This window comes from Homo sapiens, chromosome 4, assembly GCF_000001405.40.
Source record: "Homo sapiens chromosome 4, GRCh38.p14 Primary Assembly".
Taxonomy (NCBI): Eukaryota; Metazoa; Chordata; class Mammalia; order Primates; family Hominidae; genus Homo; species Homo sapiens.
Window position 1 is genome coordinate 58,822 of NC_000004.12, and position 22,209 is coordinate 81,030.

The window sequence follows — 22,209 nt, forward strand, 5'->3', positions numbered from 1 at the left end:
TTTCTCTAGCTGAGTGGTACTATAACGGGTCTAGGAGGAGCATGAGCATTAATGGGAGACTTGGCTATAAAAAGCTGATTAATGGACCCTTTTCAAACCTGCAGAATTTTGTTACTTACAGTGAGGCCTAGAATACCAAATTTATGTGCACATTGAAGCTTGAGAGGCAATGTTTAGCTAAGTGACTCTCAGCCCAGTCTTCCAGTAGGATCACATGGCAGTTTGAAGAGAAACAGTCACCTGTTCCCTCCCCACAGATCCTGTTAAGTTTCTTGTGTGACATTACAGTGAGGCCAGGGTCAAGCATGAGGGCTTCCAGTTACTTTAATGAGACGTGAGTTCACCCTTTGTTCAAGGAGGTCACAGGACCTGCTTTGCTTGGTTTTGGTAGGGACAGATCAGTGTAGCCCATATTTCCATTGCAGCAACAAAAATTGCTGGCATGCCCTCCTTTTTCTTCAGAATTATACAATACTTTAGATAACATTACTGTGTTAAAAGTTATTTTATCAGATAATTCCAGTCAGCCCCATAAGTCACAACTAGTTCTCTGATTTCACTTATAGTCAAATTAAGAACTCTGTCACATGATAAATATGTGTTTTCAGGAACTCGTAACATTCAGGGATGTGGCCATAGAATTCTCCCCTGAAGAGTGGAAATGTCTGGACCCTGCCCAGCAGAATTTGTATAGAGATGTGATGTTGGAGAACTACAGGAACCTGGTCTCCCTGGGTGAGGATAACTTCAATACATAATTCCTAATACTTCCTCAGAGTTTCATTTTCTTTCTTTGCAGAATGTCTCTTGGGTGCTTCTGCTTTGCATTAATTAATTTCAGTGCCTTTCTACAAGAAAAAAATTGGGATTTGCTGGTGTAAAAAGAAAATCTTTAGGATGTTTCATCATTGCATAAACCATCTCTTTTCTTGAGCTAATTTGTGTCCTTCACTCTAGGATAGTAGTAATTCTAGAAATTCAGTGATGTAAAATATTGTTTTCCACATCTAAAATCTAATTTGCACCACTTATTTTTGATTCAGTAGTACTGGGTAGTGGAACTTAGAACCCACAGATTTAAAATATTTCAGTATTCTAAAGATTCTGTCAGGAAACAATTTTTGGATTAATTTTCTGGAGTCTTCCATAATTTCTTTATTCTACTTAGCATAGTAATAGATTGGTCATTGGAGTATCCCCAGCAATAGTCATGTTAATTTTTTTTTAATAAAACAGGTTTTGTGATCTCTAACCCAGACCTGGTCACCTGTCTGGAGCAAATAAAAGAGCCCTGCAATTTGAAGATACATGAGACAGCAGCCAAACCCCCAGGTAGGTGAGACTGAATGAAGGAGAGGACACAGGCTAGGAGGCCAGAGGTCAGGAAGGAAGCCAGGCCTTCAAATGTAGTCTGGGAAACTGCGCCAATAAAAATAATTTCCGAAAAGGCTGCATTTTTTCTCTTATTCACAAATAGGGTCATCTTCTGTCCCATGCTCTTAAATCTTCTAAGAATTTCCTTTTTTTCTTCAGTGATCTCCAAGTTTACAAGGAGAGCCAATGTCCACTTTATCGCTTATAATGGGCTGCATAATCTGACTGCTGTTCCATTGCTTTTAGAGACATAGGAGTATTTGTATTATTGAGGACCTCTATGTTAAAGTATTTTTTCAAATATTATTTTCGCATCATGCCTAAAATACGTAAGGTGAGTAGTGGACATAATGGGATTTGGTTTAGAAATCTTAGGAACACCGAGGACAGATGTTGCATCTTTTCTGCTTAGTGATTTTTTTTTTTAATTATACTTTAAGTTTTAGGGTACATGTGCACAATGTGCAGGTTAGTGACATACGTATACATGTGCCATGCTGGTGTGCATCACCCTGCTTAGTGATTTTTAATCCTGTAGAGGTTGCAAATGTAATTCTACAAAAACTCTTACTCAGCAATTTTATCAGAACAATAAGCGTTTTTCCAAATATGAAAAAATATGTTATTTTACTTCAAAATGTTATTTTGTATAAACTGAAATTTGTAATTTGAACTCTATATATATTCAAATTTTCAAATTACAATATAGTTTACAGCACAGGTTTTCAAACTCTTGGCTTCCCTGGGCCACATTGGAAGAAGATTTGTCTTGGGACACACTTAAAATTATAAAATACACAAACAGTAATGATAGCCGATGAGCTAAGAAACAAGAAATAGGTTTGTGAATAATTTTTTTGATACCCATCACCACAGATAAGCAAAAACGTCCTCACACTCAAAGGATTGGATACCACTGGTTTAAAGTATCTACTCACCTTCTAGATTTCTTTCTTTTTTTCTTTTTTTTTTTTTTGAGACGGAGTCTTGCTCTGTCACCAAGGCTGGAGTGCAGTGGCGTGACCTCGGCTCACTGCAACCTCTGCTGCCCTGCAGCCTCCACCTCCCGGGTTCAAATGGTTCTTCTGCCTCAGCCTCCTGAGTAGCTGGGATTACAGGTGCCCGCCACGGGGTTTCACCATGTCGGCCAGGCAGGTTTTGAACTCCTGACCTCAAGTGATCCGCCCACCTCTGCCTTCCAAAGTGCTAGAATTACAGGCCTGAGCCACCGTGCCTGGCCCGCCTTCTAGATTTCTTAAATGCACTATGTCATTAACCGGCTTAGAACATTCCTAAGTGTATATTAAGCTCTCAATTGTTACCTTATTTCTTGATAAACTATTATCTTATAATTTTGTCTTATTTAGTAGGAAGCCTCCTGGGATTCTGTCATTGAGCTATAATCCATCTATATGTAGAACTGTGTGTCACACACACATACACATACCTATATGAGTCATATATGTGTATAGGAAATTCTCGCTTAACATCATTGATAGGTTCTTGGAAACTGTAAGTAAAGCAACATATTGTTTAAGAAAACTAATTTTACCAGAGTTTAATAAATAAAAACAAGTTATGTTTGAATGGCATGTAACAACATTGTTTCATTTAAAGATGCAGTTTTCAAGAATCTATTTTGAACATTAAATGAGGACTTAACATACATCTGTGTTTGTGTGATACGGATTTTTCTGATAAAATTATATAACTATATTTAATTTGTACAATGTAATGATTTGATATGCATATACATTTTGAAACAAAATGTCAAGTTGATGAACACATTTATTACCTCACATAGATAACCATTTTTTTTTTTGTCACAAGAACACTTGAGGTCTACTGTTGTAGCAAATTGTAAGCATACTTTACAGTATTACTATAAAGACAATGCTATTTTGCTAATCTAATGCTAATGTACATTAGCTTTCTCAGACTTACTCAACTTACAACTAATCATTTGTACTCTTTGAACAGCATCTCCTCATATTCCCACCCTCAGGCACTAACAACCACCATTCTACTCTCTGTTCCTATGAGTTTACATTTTTAGATTCCTCATCTAACTGAGAACATGCAGTTTCTTTGTGTTTGGCTTATTTCACTTAGCGTAATGTCTTCAAGGTCTATCAATGCTGTAAATGGCTAGATTTCCTTCTCTTTTATGGCTGAATAGTATTCTACTGTGTGTGTATATATATAAATTTTTTTGGCTATTTTAAGCAAAACTAAAATGAACATGGGGCTGAAGATTGTTCTTTGAGGTACTAATTTTATTTCCTTTGGTAGTATTCCCAGAGGTGGTATTGCTGAATTATGTGATGCTTTCATTTTTATTTTTTACTGATTTGTATGATGACTTTATCAATTTATATCTCACTAGTGGCATACAGGATTTCCCTTGTATGTATGTCTTCTTTGTGGGAAAAACAAAACTAACCTTTTGCCTATTTTTGAATAGGTTATCATCATTATTGTTTTGCTTTGAATTGCAGAAGTTTCTTACACATTTTGGATATTAACTATCAGATATATGGCTTGCAAATATTTTTCTATTGTGTAGGATTTTTTAAAATTTTGGTTTTTTCCTTTACTGTACAGAAGCTGTACACTTTGATGCAGTCCCACTCTTTTGTATTTTCTTCTGTTGCTGTGCTTTTGATGACATACCAAATTGCCAAGACCAATATCAACAAGGTTTTTCCATATGTTTTATTCAGGAGTTTTAAGCTTTTATGTCTTACATTTAAGTCTTTTATTTTGAGTTAATTTTGGGGTATGGTATAAGAAAATTTTATTTATGGTATAGTCTAATTTTATTCTTTTGCTTGTGGATATCCAGTTTTTCTGGTACCATGTATTGACAAGACTATACTTTCTGCATTGTATATTATTGGTGGCCTTGTCAAAGATTAGTTGACCTTGTATGCATGGATATGTTTCTGGGCTCCCTATTCTGTTGCATTGGTTTTTGTATCTGTTTTTATGAATATACTATACTCTTTTGATTACCATGACCTTTAAGTAAAGTTTGAAATTAGAAAGTATGATGTCCCCAGCTTTGTTCTTTCTCAAGATTGCTCAGGTTATTTTAAGTTATTTAAGATAACACTTAAATTTTACAATTGTGTTTTCTATTACTGTGAAAAATGCCACTCAAATTTTGATAGGGATGACATTGAATCTCCATATCACTTTGGATAATATTCCTTGACAATATTAGTTATCCTAATGGAATATGTTTTCATTTATTTTTACCTACTTCAATTTCTGTCATCAATATCTTAACTGTGTTAGTGTATACATTTTTATCTCATCCTTTACATTTTAAAATTTATTTTATTTATGTACTTATTTTATGAGACAGAGTCTCACTCTGTTCCCTAGGCTGAAGTACAGTGGCACAATCTCAGCTCACTGCAACCCCCGCCTCTCAGGTTCAAGCGATTCTCCTGCCTCAGCCTCCCGAGTAGCTGGGATTACAGGCGCGCACCACCATGCCTGGCTAATTTTTTTGTATTTTTAGTGGAGATGGGGTTTTGTGACCCAGCAGCACCCTTGTGACCCAGCTATGACCTTTCTTCTCAGCAACCCCAGAGGTAATCTTATCAGCCTGGGGACCCAATAAAAGGAGATCTTTACTTGCCAAAGATAGTTTTTTTTAGTGGAGATGGGGTTTTGCCATAGTTTATAGAAACTGTTAAGAGTTGTTAGATCCTTCAAATATACAGACATGGGGCTGTTTCAGGGACCAAAGCTGAGGCCAAGATCCACAAGCATGCCTCCAGGGCCACAGCTTCTACCTTAACATATTACTGAAAGTTTGTATCAGAACAATTAGACAAGGAAAATAACAAAGCTTTCCAGCTTGGAATAAAAGTAAAAATGTTACTGTTTGTAGATAATATAATTATGCGTATATACAAAACCCTAGAGTGAAACAACAAAAACTGAACTAATAAATGCATTCATTAAGGTATCAGGATACATGACCAACATAAAAATACTTGTGGGGTTTTTTTGTTTGTTTGAGATAGGGTCTCACTCTGTTGCCCAGGCTCATCTCAAACTCCTGTGCTCAAGTGATCCACCTTCCTTGGCCTCTAGCCTCTGAAAGTGTGCAGGGACTACAGAAATGAGGCACTGCACCTGACCCTACATACAAATATTTGTTGCATTTCCATATAGTAACAACAAACTTTCCAAAAAAGAGAGAAAGTTTCCAATTGCAATAGTATAAAAATAAGGAACTTAATCAAAATAAATGTAAAGTGACCGAGCATAGTGACTCACACCTGTAATGCCAGCACATTGGGATGCCAAGGTGGGGAGATCACTTGAGGCCAGGAGTTCCAGACTAGCCTGGCCATTGTGTCACAAGGGTGCTGCTAGGTCTGTTGTTTAAATGGCATATAGCAGCATTGTTTCATTTAAAGATGCAGTTTTCAAGAACCTATTTTGAACATTAAGTGAGAACTTACCATACATCTGTGTTTGAGTGATATGGGGTCTGCCTTTGATGGTTGTATTACCAGAGATTTGGACAGTCATGGATTCTTTCTGGGCCATGGAAAGATTAAATATCCTTGAGGACATTAATCTATATGGCAGGCAGTAGGGTAGGGTTTTACAGTTTGTCTGCATATGATGGCCCAAATACCATGTGTATGAATGGGATTGGCTTCTACTAACTACCTGGGAACAGGTTTCACAAGTCTCCATGTGGGTCCCTGAGTGTGTACAACTGGCCATGGACTGTGGCTGTGAGAGCTAGAACTGAGTCACAGGGCTGCTTCAAGGAGCACAGTTGAGGCCAAGATCTGCAGGCCTGCCTCCAGGGCCATGGCTGGGTGTGTTTCCCTGCAGGTCACTTGATGGGAAGGACCACTTTTGGACTATAGCTGAAGGAGTTTGAGAGAGGTTGCAGAACTGCTTTGTAATCTTCAGTAAGACCAAGCTCGGTGCCCCATTTCCTTGTCTGTAGCCATGTCTGTGGGCCCTTGAGTTGGCCACCTGGGTGAGGGCCTGCTTTTCCCAAATAACCCTTTTTGATCTTTGGCACCACTGAGGTTTCACAACCCTAACCATAGGCAAGCACCTTTCTACTTCCGTTTTCCAGGAGTTTACTATTTAAAATATCTTATATACGTGGAATCATACACTGTCACTTTGTTGGTGTCTTATCTCACTTAAAATAATGGCTTTAAGATTTATCCTTATTGTAGCATCTGACAAGATATTTTCATTTGATGCTAAAGAATATTTCATTGTATGTATAAGCCACATCTTTTTAAATCATTCATCTATTGAAGGGTGTTTGAGTTTTTTCACTTTTTGGCTTTTGTAAGTGATATAGTTTGGATCTGGGTCCCCATTCAAATCTCATGTCAAGTTGCAGTCCCTAGTGTTGGAGGTGGGCCTGGTGGGAGGTGATGGGATCGTAGGGTTGGCTTCTCACGAATGGTTTAGCAGCAGCCCCTTTGGTACTGTCTTTGCCATAGTGAGTGACTTCTTCTGAGATCTCATTTTTCAAAAGCATGTGGCACCTTCCCTCTCGTGCTCTCTTGTTCCTGCTCCCACCATGTGAGATGACTCTCTGTCCCTTTTCTTTCTGCCATGACTGGAAGCTTTTCAAGGCCTCCCCTAAAGCAGAAGCTGCTATGCTTGCCGTACAGCCTGCAGAACCATAAGCCAATTAAACCTCTTTTTAAAATAAATTACCAAGTCTCAGGAATTTTCTTATAGCACTGCAAGAATAAACTAATACAGTGAATATGGATGTGCAAATACTTCTTTCAGGTATACATTGCATACTTTAAATAGATGCTCAGAAGTGGAATTACTGGGTCATACAGTAACTTTATTTTTAATTTTTGGAGGAACCTCCATACATTTTTCAGGTGGCTGCATCACGTTTTTCCCACCAACAGTGTACAAGGGTTTCAATTTCTCTACATTGTTGACAATATATATTATTTTTTGTTTGCTTGATATTGGCCATCTTAATACACAGTAATACCTCATTGTGGTTTTTCTTTACATTTTTCTAAAGATTAGAATTTTTTTTCAATAATTGTGTATTTCATCTTTGGAGAAACATTTTCATCTCTTGTCTATTAGTCATGTAACTTTTTGTTTTTTTTTTTGGAGTTGTTCTGGATGTTATCTTCTGTCAAATATATGTATATTTTGGCTTTTCTGCTGCTTAGGTGGGACTCTTACTAAAACTTTAATGTGGAGAGATAAATTTAATGTAGTCCTACTTTTCTGTGCTTTTGAATTTTTTGCTCATGTGTTTGATGTTACATGCAAGAAAACATTGCTGGGATCAATGTCATAATCTTCCTATATTTTCTTCTAAAGATTGTATAATTATAATTCTTACGTTTAAATATTTAACTCATTCAAGACAGTTTTTGTATATGGTTCAGGGGAAGGATCCAACCTCAGTTTTTTCATATGGATATACAGTTTTCCAACACCATCTATTGAAGAGACTGTCTTTCTCTTATTGTGTGGTTATAGCAACCTTGTTGAAGATCATTTGAACATATACACAGTGGTTTGTTTTTGAGTTCTGTGTTCTGTTCCATCATCTATTTGTCTTCTTGCAAGTACCACACTGTTTTTATTTAGCTTTGTTATCTGTTCTAAAAACAGGAAACGTTGTGCATGTAACTTTGTTCTTGTTTTCTAAGAATGTTTGGGCTATCAGTGGTCCTTTGAAATTCCATGTAAAAGTTAAGAATTGTAAAAAATACTTTTTCACAAAGTATTATTTTTATTTTCATTAGGCTTACGTTGAATTTGAATATCACTGTGTAGTATGGTCATTTAACAATATCAAATCAACTGACACAGATAAGAATATGTTCAAGAGTGTGTTGAGTTTCACAGGTTTTTGGATTTGGCAATTTTGCTTCTGCTTTTGATTTCCAGTTTTATTACAGGTGGTATGAAAGGATGTGTTGTATAATTCAGTGTTGTATGATGAGAACTACGCTCAATACTTTGATGACCAAATAATCTGTACAACAAACCTCCATGACAGAAGTTTGCCAGTATAAGAAACCTGCACATATACTCTGATCTTAAAGTTTAAAAAAAAAGGGTGGGGGGGTTGTTTTGCATTCTAACAGGTTGTCCATGAAACAACAGTTACTCATTTTCTTCTCCACTTAACCCCGACACAGTTTAGTCTTCTTTCTGTTTCTATGAGTTTAACTACTTTAGGTATCTTACATAAGTGGAATTATATCGTTTCTGTCCTTTTGTGCCTGGGCTTCTTCCACATAAATAAAGCCTTAAAAATGTATCCTTATTGTGGATTTAACAAAATTTTCTGCTTTTAAGAAGCTGAGTAATATTTAATTATTTATATATTTGAAATTGTCTTTATTCATTTATTTATTAAGAAAAGTTCTTTTCACTTACTTGCTTTTGTAGATAATGCTACCGTGAATATGGATGTGTAAATTACTCTTCATTTGATAATATATGCAAGGGACTATTTGTGTTCTTTATTCTGTTTCACTGGTATTTTAAAATTGAGTTATAAAGTATTTCAATTACTATAACTTTATAATAGGTGTTTAAAATCAGGAGGTATGGTGCTTATGATGTTGTTTCTCTTTTTGACAGTTGTTCAGCACTTCTGGTCTCTTCAGTTCTGATATGATTTTAGGATTGCTTCTTTTTTTTTTTTTGAGGCGGAGTGGAGTGCAGTGGCGCCATCTCGTTTCATTGCAAGTTCCGCCTCCCATGTTCACACCATTGTCCTGCCTCAGCCTCCCTAGTAGCTGGGACTACAGGTGCCCGCCACCACGCCCGGCTAATTTTTTGTATTTTAGTAGAGACGGGGTTTCACTGAGTTAGCCAGGATGGTCTCGATCTCCTGACCTCGTGATCCGCCCATTTCGGCCTCCCGAAGTGCTGGGATTACAGGTGTGAGCCACTGCACCACGTCAGGATTGCGTCTTATGTTAATGCGAAATATGCATAGCTGTCATCCGAAGTATACCACCATTCCCTTCAGCACTCTACGTCAGAGGAGGCACGTCAGGGGAGACAAAATTCCTCTTCGGACAGTCCCTCAAAAGACAGGAATGTGGACATATATTCCACATTTCTCTTTGTCTCCTGAGGAAGAAGCATAGAGTTGGGAGTTTCTCCTGGATTGCACCATGCTGTATTGGGAGGAGGTCAGGCTGCGCTGGGCATATCTAATAAGCTTTTTCTTCTCTTCTACATGTTTTTGGCATTGTGCTCAACTGAAGTAGTACAAATTCTTAACTATGTTCAGGAATTCTCACAAAGGCAATGTGATCAGCGTGGTGTTAAGTTCATATATCTATGAAGAAACGAGGACCAGTGGTGTTTGTTTTTACGCTTTTCATTTTAAATTTATATTTTATTTATTATTTTAATTTTTGTGAGTACGTAGTACCTATATGTATCTATGGATTATATCAGTGATTTTGATGAAGGCATGAAATGCACAAAAATAACATCATATAAATGGTTATTCATTGCCTCAACTATTTGTTCTTTATTTTACGAACAATCTAATAACATTCTTTTAGTTACTTAAAAATGTACAATTAAATTGCTTTTGACTATAGTCACTCTGTTGTACTAGCAACTACTAAATCTTACCCTAATTATTTTTGTATCCATTAACCTTCCCCACTTCCCCTGAACCCCTCACTATACTTTCCAGCCTCTGATAACAATCCTTCTGCTTTCTATCTCCATGAATTAAATCAATTTAGTTTTTAGCTCCAGCAAATGTGTGAGAACATGCAAAGTTTGCCATCATGTGCCTGGCTTATTTCTCTTAACATAATGACCTCTAGTTCTATCCATGTTGTTGCAAATGACAGGATCATATTCTTTTTTATGATTGAAAAGTACTCCGTTGTGTATTTGTACCACAGTTGCTTTATCCATTCATCTGTTGATAGACACTTAGATTGCTTCTAAATCTTGGCTAATGTGAACACTGCTGCAATAAAATGGAGGTGCAGATATCTCTTTGATGTCCTGATTTATGTACATACCTAGGAATGGGATTGTTGGATAATATAGTAGCTCTATTTTTCATTTTTTGAGGAACCTCTAAGCTGTGCTCCATAGTGGTTGGACTAATTTACATTCACACCAAGAGAATGCTAGAGTTTTTTTCCCCACATCCTTACTGGCGTTTGTTATTGACTGACTTTTGGATAAGAGCCATTGTAACTGGGGTGAGATAATATCTCACTGTTGTTTTGATTTGCATTTCTCTGATGATATTGATGTGGAGCACCTCGTCATATACCTTTTTGTTATTTGTATGCCCTTTTTTGAGAAATGTCTATAAACGTTCTTTGCACATTCATAATCAGATTATTTGATCTTATCCTATAGAGCTGTTTATGTGCCTTACGTATTCTGGTTGTTCCTTTTCTGATGGGCAGTTTGCACATGTTTTCTCTAATTTTGTGTGTTGTCTCTTCACTTTGTTGATTGTTTCATTTGCTGTTTAGAAGCTCTTTATGGTGATTCGTTTGCTGTTTAGAAGCTCTTTAACTTGATGTGATTCCATTTGTTCATCTTTGCTTTGGCTCCCTGTGCTTGTGGGGGTATTATTCAAGACATTTTTGCCCAGTTTAATTTCCTGAAGAGTTTCACCAATGTTTTCTTGCAGTAGTTTCATAGTTCGATGCGGGGGTCTGCCCACAGACCGTGACCCAAACGACAGATGAATAAAGTACACTGATACACAGATATTCTGTTTTGCCAGTCCAGCTGGATGTCCGGGCCACTTACAGACTCCCCAGAGAGTTCTGTAAACAGTTGTGACCCTGACCAGCTAGTGAGACTCGCATTTATTTAGTAAAGACTAATTGACAAAGGCTTGAGTCAACACTACTAAAGAGTAATTGACATTGTGGACTTTCCAAGTAGAAAGCACCAACGGTAGATAATTATCTTTAATATTTTTTCCCACCAGCTTGATTGAATCCCTACAGTTTGAGGTCTTAGATTTGAGTCTCTAATCCATTTTGATTTAATTTTTTATATGGCCAGAGATAGGGGTCTAGTTTCGTTCTTCTGAATATGAATATTGAGTTTTTGTAGCACTTTCCCCGATAAATATCCTTTTTTTTTTTTTGAAGACAGAGACTTGCTCTGTCACCCAGGCTGGAGTTCTGTGGTACAGTCTTGGCTCACTGCAACCTCTGCCTCCCAGGTTCAAGCAATTCTCCCACCTCAGCCTCTGGAGTAGGTGGGACTACAGGCGTGCACCCCCATGCCTGACTAATTTTTGTATTTTTAGTAGAGACAGAGTTTCACCATGTTGGCCACTCTGGTCTCAAACTCCTGATCTCAAGTGATCCACCTGTCTCAGCCTTTCAGAGTTCTGGGATTAGGCATGAGTCAGCATGCTCAGCCTCCAATAAATATTCTTGACACCTTTGTCAAAAATAAGTTTGCTGTAGATGTATGGGTTTATATCTGTGTTCTCTCTACTGTTTTACTGATCAGTCCCATGCTGTTCTAATTACTGTAGCTCTGTAGAATCATTTATAGTTAAATAGGATGATTCCTCCAGTTTCTTTTTTCTTACAGTGACTTTGGCTATTCTGAGTCTTTTGTGGTTCTGTCTACATTGTAGAATTGTTTTTCGTATTTCTGTGAAGAATGTCATTGATCTTTTGATAGGGATTGCATTAAATCTGTAGATTGCTTCAGGTAGTATTGACATTTAGAAAGTATTGATTCTTTTTATTCATGAACATAAAATATCTTTCCTTTTTTTGTCTTTTTAAATTTCTTGCATCAGTATTTCCTGGTCTTCATTGTAGAGACCTTTCACTTCTTTGCTTATGTTAATTCCTAGGTATTTAATTTTAATTTGTGGCTATTGTAAATGGGATTACTCTTGGTTTCTTTTTCACATTGTTCACTGTTGGCATATGGAAACACTACTAATTTTTAAATGCTATATTTTGACTAAATTTATTAGTTCTAATAGTGTTCTAGTTAATTAGGTTTTTTTCAAATATAAAACTACATCATCTGCAAACAAAGATATAATTTGACTTCTTTCTTTCCAATTTGGATGCCCTTTATTTTTTTCTCTTGTCAAATTGTTCTGGCTGGCACTTCCAATACTATGTCGAATAACAGTGGTGAAAGTATGCATCTTTTGTGCCTCTTCTTTTGTCTTCTTCAGGTGCAGACACCTTATCAGAATGCCCTTGGGTTTAGGTTCCCAATTTCACAAGGTAATTCATCCTCATACATCCTATTGTCTTTTCCTGGTCCTAGGTTTCAGAACTGTCTGGGAAGACCACAGATGCCTATGGTGGCCATGTCTCTTGGAATGTCTAGGGAATGACAGCTACTGCATCACATCCTCATGGTGGGCAGCCTGAGGTATAGGGTAGAGCCTCACGGGAGCAGCTGAGTGCCCTGATGCTAAAGCACTCTTCTTGTTTACTTTTCATCCAAAACACCAAATCCTTATGGCATTAAGATTTTCTTTCTCCAAATCCAGTTTCCATGTTTTAGAGACACATTGCTGGTCAGCCAATGGAAAGCTGATATTGATGGGAAAGGCAGAAATAATTCCTACCATCTGGATTTTTTCAGAATTGTGGAAGGGGAAAAAAGTATCCCCAACAACATTGAATGTTCATTCTAGCAAGGTGATACAAGGACCTGCAAAAAAAAAATGTACTCCAGGCACACAGAGGCACACAGTGCAGAGGCCCTTGGGAGGGTGGTCATTGAGTATTTCAATGAGCAGGATGGGGGTGGGAGGATCTATATCATAGGATGGCCTAACTTGCCACTTGAGTCAGACATACCATTCCGGCCAGTACTGCCACTCCCTGGGTTTGTCATCTTGAAAAGATTGTTTACTTATTTCAGCTTTCATTTTTATTAACTGCACAATGCATTCTATTTGTAGAGCTTGAAAAATAGAAAAATATTCTCAAAGAGGCATACAAATGTGAATTTTAAAAAAATCTAGTGATGTATTTCATTTGTTAAAAATTCTTATTTTCATTTTTTTTTTCCCTGAGCAAGGGTAGTAAGTTTCTGAAATCTGTACATTTTGGGAGCTATTTCACACAGAATCTCAGGGCTTAGTTATAAAAATATTACTGGGTGAAAAGAAATAGGAAAAATTTTCTTCTTTTATGGCTGCAGAAAAGTGAATACATTTCCACAAGAAATCGTGGTAGATACATTGGTGGTTTATAGAGATTTGCCAAAACATCAGTTTCTTTTTTCTGCATGGTGGAGAATTTGCAATAGTTGATAAGTCTACTCTGTTATCCTGTTATCTGCATATTTGAGTTTAATGTTAAATTCTATGGACTAGGACTTGACATTCCTGGAAGTGCTCATAAATGATTGCTTAATTATTTGTTATTATGGAAATAATACCTAAATGACATTTGCTGTCTGAAATGGATATTTTGGCTTTTCTTGTTGAAGTATGAAATGTAAGTGCCTTCCAATTTCCATTTCTCCTGTGAACATAAGTGCTGAGTTTGAGGAATTCTGCTGGATTCTTCAAACACTGAGTTCCTTTTGTATAAAATGAAGGGAATAACCTTGACTGGGAATCAGACCTAAGCCCATTAACTGCAGGGTAAGGCCAATCTTGACACTGTCAAAGGATGTAATCAGTAGCCCAGTTGTTACTTACTGGGGAACCTTTCCTGCAGGTGTACCAGCCTGGCTCAAATTAGACATGAAAGGAGCCTTTACACTGAGAAGGTACAGAACTCTGGAAAGCTGAGGATCCACAGGCAGATGCAGTGAGAGTTGGGATGGGAGGTTGTTTGTGATGTCCTCTGAGAGGGTGTAATTGTTACTGTCATGGGGCTCTTCCTAGATATTGTCAAATAAATTCCAATGAGGTAAGAAGTGACTTTATTCTGAGGAATATTGCATTGGGGAAAGCACCAAGCATAAGACCTGCAAGCATCTCCAAAATGAGGCAGAAAAGGGCTATTTGTCATACGGAGGAGCAAACAAGATTAGAAAGTAGGTGTGAGGGAGAGAGCAGAATGGAGAATGGCAAAATCAGATTCAGGATTGGAGAATGTTTCACCCTGACGTCAACCTGTTCTTGGGAGGGACATGAAGAGGGGTTGTATGCTATCTCAGACTGAAGGTGGAGCAGAGTCCAGGGGCCTGGGTAAAGGAGAGAAACTTAAGCAAAGTTTGGTTAACAAGTATTCTGTTCTGAACACTGAAGACAAAATTATTTGTTTATGAGGGAAAAATGAGAATTTAGAATCGGTGAATTTGAGATATCTAAAGAGGGAGCATCATCAAAGTCAATGAAAAGGTGATTTATTAGCAGTAAGCTTTTTTGATAGGGCACAAAGGATTGGAGAGACCATAGTTATAACTACCAAGATTCACTAACCCACCTCCTCTTTTCCCGCACTTTCTTTTGTCCTATATATTTTTTCCCTTTGGCTTTTACTGAATTGTATCCAATATTAGTAATCTGGTAAACATAGGTAAAGTTTTTTCATTAAGTTCTGTGAGTAGTTTTATCAAATCCTTTAACTTGAGGGAGGGAGTTCTGGAAGCCCATGATTTATAGACAGTTGCTCTGAAGTATAGATGGGTCCTTGGGGCTTGTGACTGGCATGTGGAGGGAAGCAATATTGTGGAACTGAGCCCTGAGACGGTGGGGTCTGTGCTGACCGTGGTGTTGTCAGAATTGAGTTGTTGGACACCCAGTTGGTGATAGAAGTTTGGTTGGTGTTCAGCAAACTCCATATATTTGGTGTTAGAATAAAGATATCAGACCAGGTGCGGTGGCTCACACCTGTAATCCTAATACTTTGGGAGGCCACAGAGGGCAGATCGCTTGAGCTCAGGGGTTCGACACCAGCCTGGGCAATATGGTGAAATCTTATGTCTACCAAAAATAAAAAAAAATTAGCTTGGCAAGGTGGTGCATACCTGTAGTCCCAGCTGGGGCTGAGGCAAGAGGATCACTTGAAGGCTGGGATGTTGAGGCTCTCCAGATTTATGATGTATCCTGGAGAATGTTCCATGTGTGTTTGAGAAGAATATAAGTTATACTGTTGGGTGAAATGTTACCTATATATGTCTTTTAGGTGTAGTTCTTTAGTGCTATGCAAGTACATTGTTTTCTGTCTGAATGATGTGTTGTATTAAGTAGGGCAATAAAGTTCCCTAGTATTATCATATTTGTCTGTTTTTCTACATCTGTTAATATATGTTCATATTTTTGAGACAGGTCTCAGTTAATTTAGAAAGTTTATTTTGCCAAGGTTGAGGACACACATCTGTGGCAGGAAGTCCTGGAGACATGTGCCCCAGGTGGTCGGGGAACAACTTAATTTTATACATTTTAAGGAGACATAAGGCAGCAATCGATATATGTAAGAAGTACATTGATTCGGTCTGGAAAGGTGGGACAACTTGAAGCAAAGATGGGAAGACTGGAAGTGAGGAGGGGGCTTCCAGGTCATAGGTAGATAAGAGACAAATGATTGCATTCTTTTGAGTTTCTGATTAGCCTCTCCAAAGGAGGCAATCAGATTCACATCTGTGTCAGTGGCGGAGAGGTGACTGAATAGAATGGGAGGCAGGTTGGCACTAAGCAATTCCCAGCTTGACTTTTCCCTTTAGCTTAGTGATTTGGAGGCCCCAAAATTTATTTTCCTTTTACAATATATTTATGTGCTTCTATATTGGGTATGTATATATTTTTATTTGTTATATTATTTTGACAAATTAGCCTTTTATTACCATATAGTGAAGATCTTTTTTTCATGACAGATTTTTTTTTTCCTAGAAATCTCTTTTGTCTGATACGGCCACTGCTACACTCTTTTAGTTATTATTGACATGGAATATTCTTTTTCATCCTTGGACTATTAACGTATGTGTGTCCTTAACTCTAAGTCTCTTGTGTGCAGCATATGGTTGATTTTATAAATCTATTCAAACATTTTGTAAATGCTTTATTTTTTGCTTCAATAACAATATCCTAGAGTTGGTAATTTATAAAGAATAAAAGTTTGCTTAGCGCACAATCCTGGATGCCAGGAAGTCCAAGAGCATGCCATTCCCATCTGATGAGAATCATACTTCCACATCACAACATGACTGAAGGCTTGAGGATGACAGAAGGTGTACACCAGAGCTCACTTTTATAATAGACCCACTCTCATCATGACTAACCCACTGTTGAAATACTGATACTAATCCTTTCGTGAGAGTAGAGCTGTCATGACCTAATAACTTAAGGGTCTCACTTAATTTTCTCACAATGGCAGTTAAATTTTAACATGAATTTTGGAGAGGACTCTCAAACCATAGCAATGTGTTTTCATTGGATAACTAAATCTTTATATATTTTTAAAAGAATTACTGATTGGTAAGAACTTATTACTGCCATTTTGTTCATTGTTTTCTGACCATTTAGTAGTTTCTGTTTTGTAATTCTTACATGCTGTCTTCCCTTGTGTTTTCTTGAGTTCTGTTTTGTTTTTGTTAGATGCTTTCATTCTTTTTCTTTTGTATGTATCTACTACAGATTTTTGGGGGGTTTTTTGGTTGTTTTTTTTTTTTTAGAATTTCCAAGAGACTTACATAAAACATCTCACAGTTATAAAATCTAGTTTAAGATAACAATTTAACTTTCTGTTTTATACAGATAGGGTCTTGCTTTCTAACCCAGGCTGTAGTGCAATGGTGCATTCACAGCTCAGTGCAGCCTTGACCTCCCCAGGCTCAAGCAATTCTCCAGTCGCAGCCTCCTGAGTAGCTAGGATTACAAGTACATGCCACCATGTCCGGCTAATTTTGTCAGTATTTTTTGTAGAGATAGGGTTTTGCCATGTTGCTCAGGCTGCTCTTGAACTTCTAGGCTCAAACAATTCACCTGCTTTGGCTTCCCAAAGTGCTAGGATTATCAGCATAAGCCATCAGACCCAGCCACTTGTTTTAAGTAAATAGCTTTCTGAGATCCGTATTTTATTTTATGTATTTATTTTAGAGACACGGTCCTGCTATATTGAGCAGGCTGGTTTTGACCTCCTGGCCTCAAGCAAAAGTTAACTTATGTGTGTAGAAAAATCAAGCAGTTGTACTCCCTTCAACACACTATTTATGTCATACTTTACATAATTTTTTATATTGTATACCCATTAACAAATTATTGAGGCTATATATATTTTAATACTTTTTTGTAACTTTTATACCAGAGTTAAAAGGGATTTATGTACCATAATTACAGTTTTATAGCCTTCTATATTTGACTATATATATTTTTTTCCAGTAAGATTTATACTTTTATATGTTTTCTTGTTGTAAATTAGAAGTCCGTTATTACAACTTGAAAAATTCTTATTAGCATTTCTTGTAAGGTCAAATGATTATAAATTTCCTCAACTTGTTTAATCTGAGAATATCTCGATTCATATTTCATTTCTAAAGAACAGTTTTGTCAGGTATACTCTTCTTCGTTGTCAAATTTTTTTCATTTTCTCTCTTCATCTGCACTTTAAATATATGATCTCACTCCTATCTGGCTTGCATGGTTTCTGCTGAGCAATTTGCTGATAACCTTATAGGGGTTCCCTTGTATGAGAAAAATTTCTTTTCTCTTGCTTCTTTTAAGAATCTCTCTTTGTCTTTGAATTTTGGCAGTTCAATTATGTGTTCTGGGCAATTGTTATTAGTTCCTTCTGCTATAGACATTTTAAGCTTCATAAAACTGAATGTCTGTATTCCTTCTAAGATTGAGAAAAATTTAGGACATTATCTTTAAACAAATTTTTAAGATTTTTCTCTCTCTACCCTGAACATGCTAAAATATGTACATTTTTACAGTTTATTATGCAGTATGTGGCCCAAATGCTTTATTCACTCTTTCATTCTTTTTTTTTTTAAATTAGGAACTGTCAAATGACTTAATTTTAACTTTGCTGACTTTTTTTCTGTATAACTGTCTCCTGTTAAAGCTTTCTCTAAAATTTTTTATTATATATTGCGTTCTTCAGCTCCAGCATATCCATTTGGTTCTCTTTCTTTGCTATAATTGTAATTTTGTTCATGTGTTCTTGCAAAAAAAAAAATTAGTATTTTTTTCATCTCATTGACATTCCTTAAGATAATTATTTTGACTTCTTAGCCATTTTTTAGATCTGTGTTTTATTGTAAGTGGTTACTGGAAAATTTTCAGGTTCCTTTGGTGGTGGTATGTTTGCCTGATCCTTTATTATCTGTGAAGCCTTATTTTGATGTCCTTGCATCTGAAGGAGCAAATACCTCTTTCAGTCATTACAGACTAGTTGGGAGGTAAATACTTCTCCTGTTTGATCTCTGGGCTGATGATATTTCCACTGAGATTGCAATTAAATGCTTTGGAGCCAGGTCACATAACTACTACTATGTCTGCAGTGAAGTTCATGTTTGGCAGACCTGTTATCAGGCCATCAGACAGTTGTGGATTCTATTTTCTGGAAAGACTAGACTTTCTTCAAGAACTTTATCAATAAGACTGGCCTGAGACAAAAAAAAATCCAATTATATATGCAGATGGGGGTGCTGATACAATATAAATGTGAGCAGGTGTGGCTCCTGATGTGTGGCTCTTGCTGGATGTTTCAAAATGCTCTAACCTGGTCATTGGACAGGCTCCTAGATGAGCAGTACTGACCCTTGAACACAGCTGTGAGGGTGTGGAACTGATTCATAGGGCTGCTTCAGGATACACAGCTGAGACCAAAGTCTTCAGGGTTTTTTGTTTGTTTGTTTGTTTGTTTTTTGAGACGGAGTCTTGCTCTGTCTCCCAGGCTGGAGTGCAGTGGCGCGATCTCGGCTCACTGTAAGCTCCGCCTTCCTGGTTCACGCCATTCTCCTGTCTCAGCCTCCCGAGTAGCTGGGACTACAGGCGTCCGCGGCCACGTCCGGCTAATTTTTTGTATGTTTAGTAGAGATGGGGTTTCACCGTGTTAGCCAGGATGGTCTCGATCTCCTGACCTCGTGATCCACCCACCTGGGCCTCCCAGAGTCCTCAGATTACAGGCGTGAGCCACCGCGCCCGACCTTTTGTTTTAATCTTTCTGTTTGCCTGGTAATTTTAAACTCTGTACCTTTTATGACCCTGTGGTATTTAATTCAAATAAAAATCATTGGGTTTCACTTTGAGCAAATTAAAATGTACATATAAATCAGATATTTCTATTGCCTATAAAAGTTATCTGTGTGGTATTTGCATGTATAAATATTGCCCCTACTTTGTTCGTAAATTATTTATTCACTTGAGTGGTCACCAGTGTTTTCTTGTGTACGTGAGTAATCAAAGAAACTGTAAAATTGCCACCTATTCGATTATATGTTCTGTGAGAGAAACAGTTTTGTTATTTGAAGGTGATTTTTGAAAAATGAAACCTTTTTAGGTAGATGTAAATATCTAATTGTGATTAAAAACTTAAAATTGCTAACTTAAACATTTTCTTTCTTTCTTTCTTTTTTGAGACAGAGTTTTGCTCTTGTTGCCCAAGCTGGAGTGCAGTGGTGCGATCTCAGCTTACCGCAGCCTCCTGCATCAGCCTCCTGAGTAGCTGGGATTACAGGAATGCACCACCATGCCCGGCTAATTTTGTATTTTCAGTAGAGACATGGTTTCTCCAAGTTGGTCAGGCTGGTCTTGAACTCCTGACCTCAGGTAATCCACTCGCCTCGGCCTCCGAAAGTGCTGGGATTACAGGCATGGGCCACCACCCCCGGCCAACATTTTCAAGTATACGGTCCAGTGGTGTTAAGTACATTTACTTTATTTTGCAATGGATCTCTAGATTAATTTTACCTTACAAAAGTAAAATTTAATACCTTATAAACAATAAGTTGCCCTTTTTTTCTCTTCAGCTCCTGAAGAACACCATTTTACTTACTCTTTCTATAATTTTATAATTCTTCTCAGTGTAATTATATAATGTCTGTTTCTGTTTGACTCTCATTTTATTTAAGGTAATGTTCTCAGGCTTTGTTTTGTAAGATGTGTCAGAATATCCTTCTGTTTTAAAATGAAATAATATGTAATTGTATGTATATGTCACATTTTTAAAATCTGATACTGATCTCTAAAGGGACATTTGTGCTGTTTCCAGGAATTGTCTTTTGTAAATAACAATGAATGAACATGCATGTGTAAATATCTATTTGAAGTCCTGCTTTATCATGTGGGTAATTAATATTTCTAGCACTATTTATTGAAAAGACTGTCTTTTTCCAGCTGTGTGTTCTGGACATCTTTGTTAAAAATCACTTGGCTGTAGGCTCATGAATTTGTTACTGGGCTCACTGGATACTTTGATCTCTTTGTCTGTTTTTATGCCAATATTTTGCTGTTTTGCTTATTATAGCTTTATAGTATATTTTCGAATCAGGTAGTGCAGTATCTCCAGCTTTGTTGTTTTTTTTTTTTTTCTTTTCTTTTGCTCAGGATTACTTTGGGTATTTGGGGGTCTTTGGTTGTTCCCTATAAATTTTAAGCTAGTTTTTTTTTTCATTTCTTTGAAAAAAGTCATTGGTATTTTGATAGAGATTTCATTGATCCTGTAGTATAACCACTTTTTAAATATTATTTCAATTCATAAGCAAAAAAATGTTTTTCAAATTTTCATGTCTTTTTCAGTTTCTTGCCAATGTTTTATAATTTTCAGTTTAGAATGTTCACCTTTTTAATTGTTTGCTGCTAGACATCTTTATTTTTTAGTGTGAATGGTGTGGATGCAGAAGCAGCATTGGGCAAAATTGAATATGTCTTTTTTTTTCTTGAGACGAAGTTTCACTCTTGTTGCCCAGGCTGGAGTGCAATGGCATGATCTCAGCTCACTGCAACCTCCGCCTCCCAGGTTCAAGCAATTCTTCTGCTTCAGCCTCCCAAGTAGCTGGGATTATAGGCATGCACCACCATGCCCGGCTAATTTTGTATTTTTAGTAGAGATGGGGTTTCTTCATGTTGAGGCTGGTCTCAAACTCCTGACCTCAGGTGATCCACCCGCCTCGGCCTCCCAAAGTGCTGGGATTATAGGCGTGCGCCACCGCGCCCTGCTTGAGCATGTCTTTGTGACTTAAAAAACTCAACAAATTAGATATAGATGGTATATACCTCAACACAATAAAGGCCATATATGACAAGTCAATGGCTGATATCATACTGGACAGGAAAGAGAAAATTTTATTTTTCATTTTTTTATTTTTGTCATGCGCATCCGTGTGAAAAGACCACCAAACGGGCTTTGTGTGAGCAGTAAAGCTTTTTAATCACCTGGGTGCAGACGAGCTGAGTCCAAAAAAGAGAGTCAGCGAAGGGAGATAGGGGTGGGGCAGTTTTATAGGATTTGGGTAGGTAATGGAAAATTACAGTCAAAGGGGTTGTTCTCTGGCAGGCAGGGACAGGGGTCACAAGGTGCTCAGTTGGGGAGCTTCTGAGCCAGGAGAAGGAATTTCACAAGGTAATGTCATCAGTTAAGGCAGGAAGCAGCCATTTTCACTTCTTTTGTGGTTCTTCAGTTGCCTCAGGCCATCTGGATGTACACGTGCAGGCTTGGGCTCAGAGGCCTGACAATTTAAGTTCTGGGATACATGTGCAGAATGTGCAGGTTTGTTACATAAGTATACATGCGCCATGGTGGTTTGCTGCACCTATCAACCCATCATCTAGGTTTTAAGCCCCGCACTCATTAGGTATTTGTCCTAATGCTCTCCCTCCTATTGCCCCCCACCCCCTCTGACAGGCCCCGGTGTGTGATGTTCCTTCCCTGT

At 37.4% G+C, this 22,209-nt stretch overlaps 1 protein-coding gene across 4 annotated transcripts in view; it reads left to right on the plus strand.

Annotated features, from left to right (window-relative positions):
- The window catches only part of ZNF595 (zinc finger protein 595), a 34,888-nt gene that overhangs the window by 5,501 nt on the left and 7,178 nt on the right, over positions 1-22,209 (plus strand). For 2 of the 4 annotated variants that reach the window (NM_001286054.2, NM_182524.4), the window contains exons 2-3: positions 609-735; positions 1,237-1,332. The exons of 1 other annotated variant lie outside the window; for it this stretch is intronic. Coding sequence is in view for 2 of the 3 variants with exons in the window: in NM_182524.4 (NP_872330.1) it covers positions 609-735; positions 1,237-1,332 (223 nt within the window). In the remaining variant the exon portion in view is untranslated. The remainder of the gene's footprint in view (positions 1-608; positions 736-1,236; positions 1,333-22,209) is intronic. One more of the 4 variants, NM_001286052.2, reaches the window with a different exon arrangement.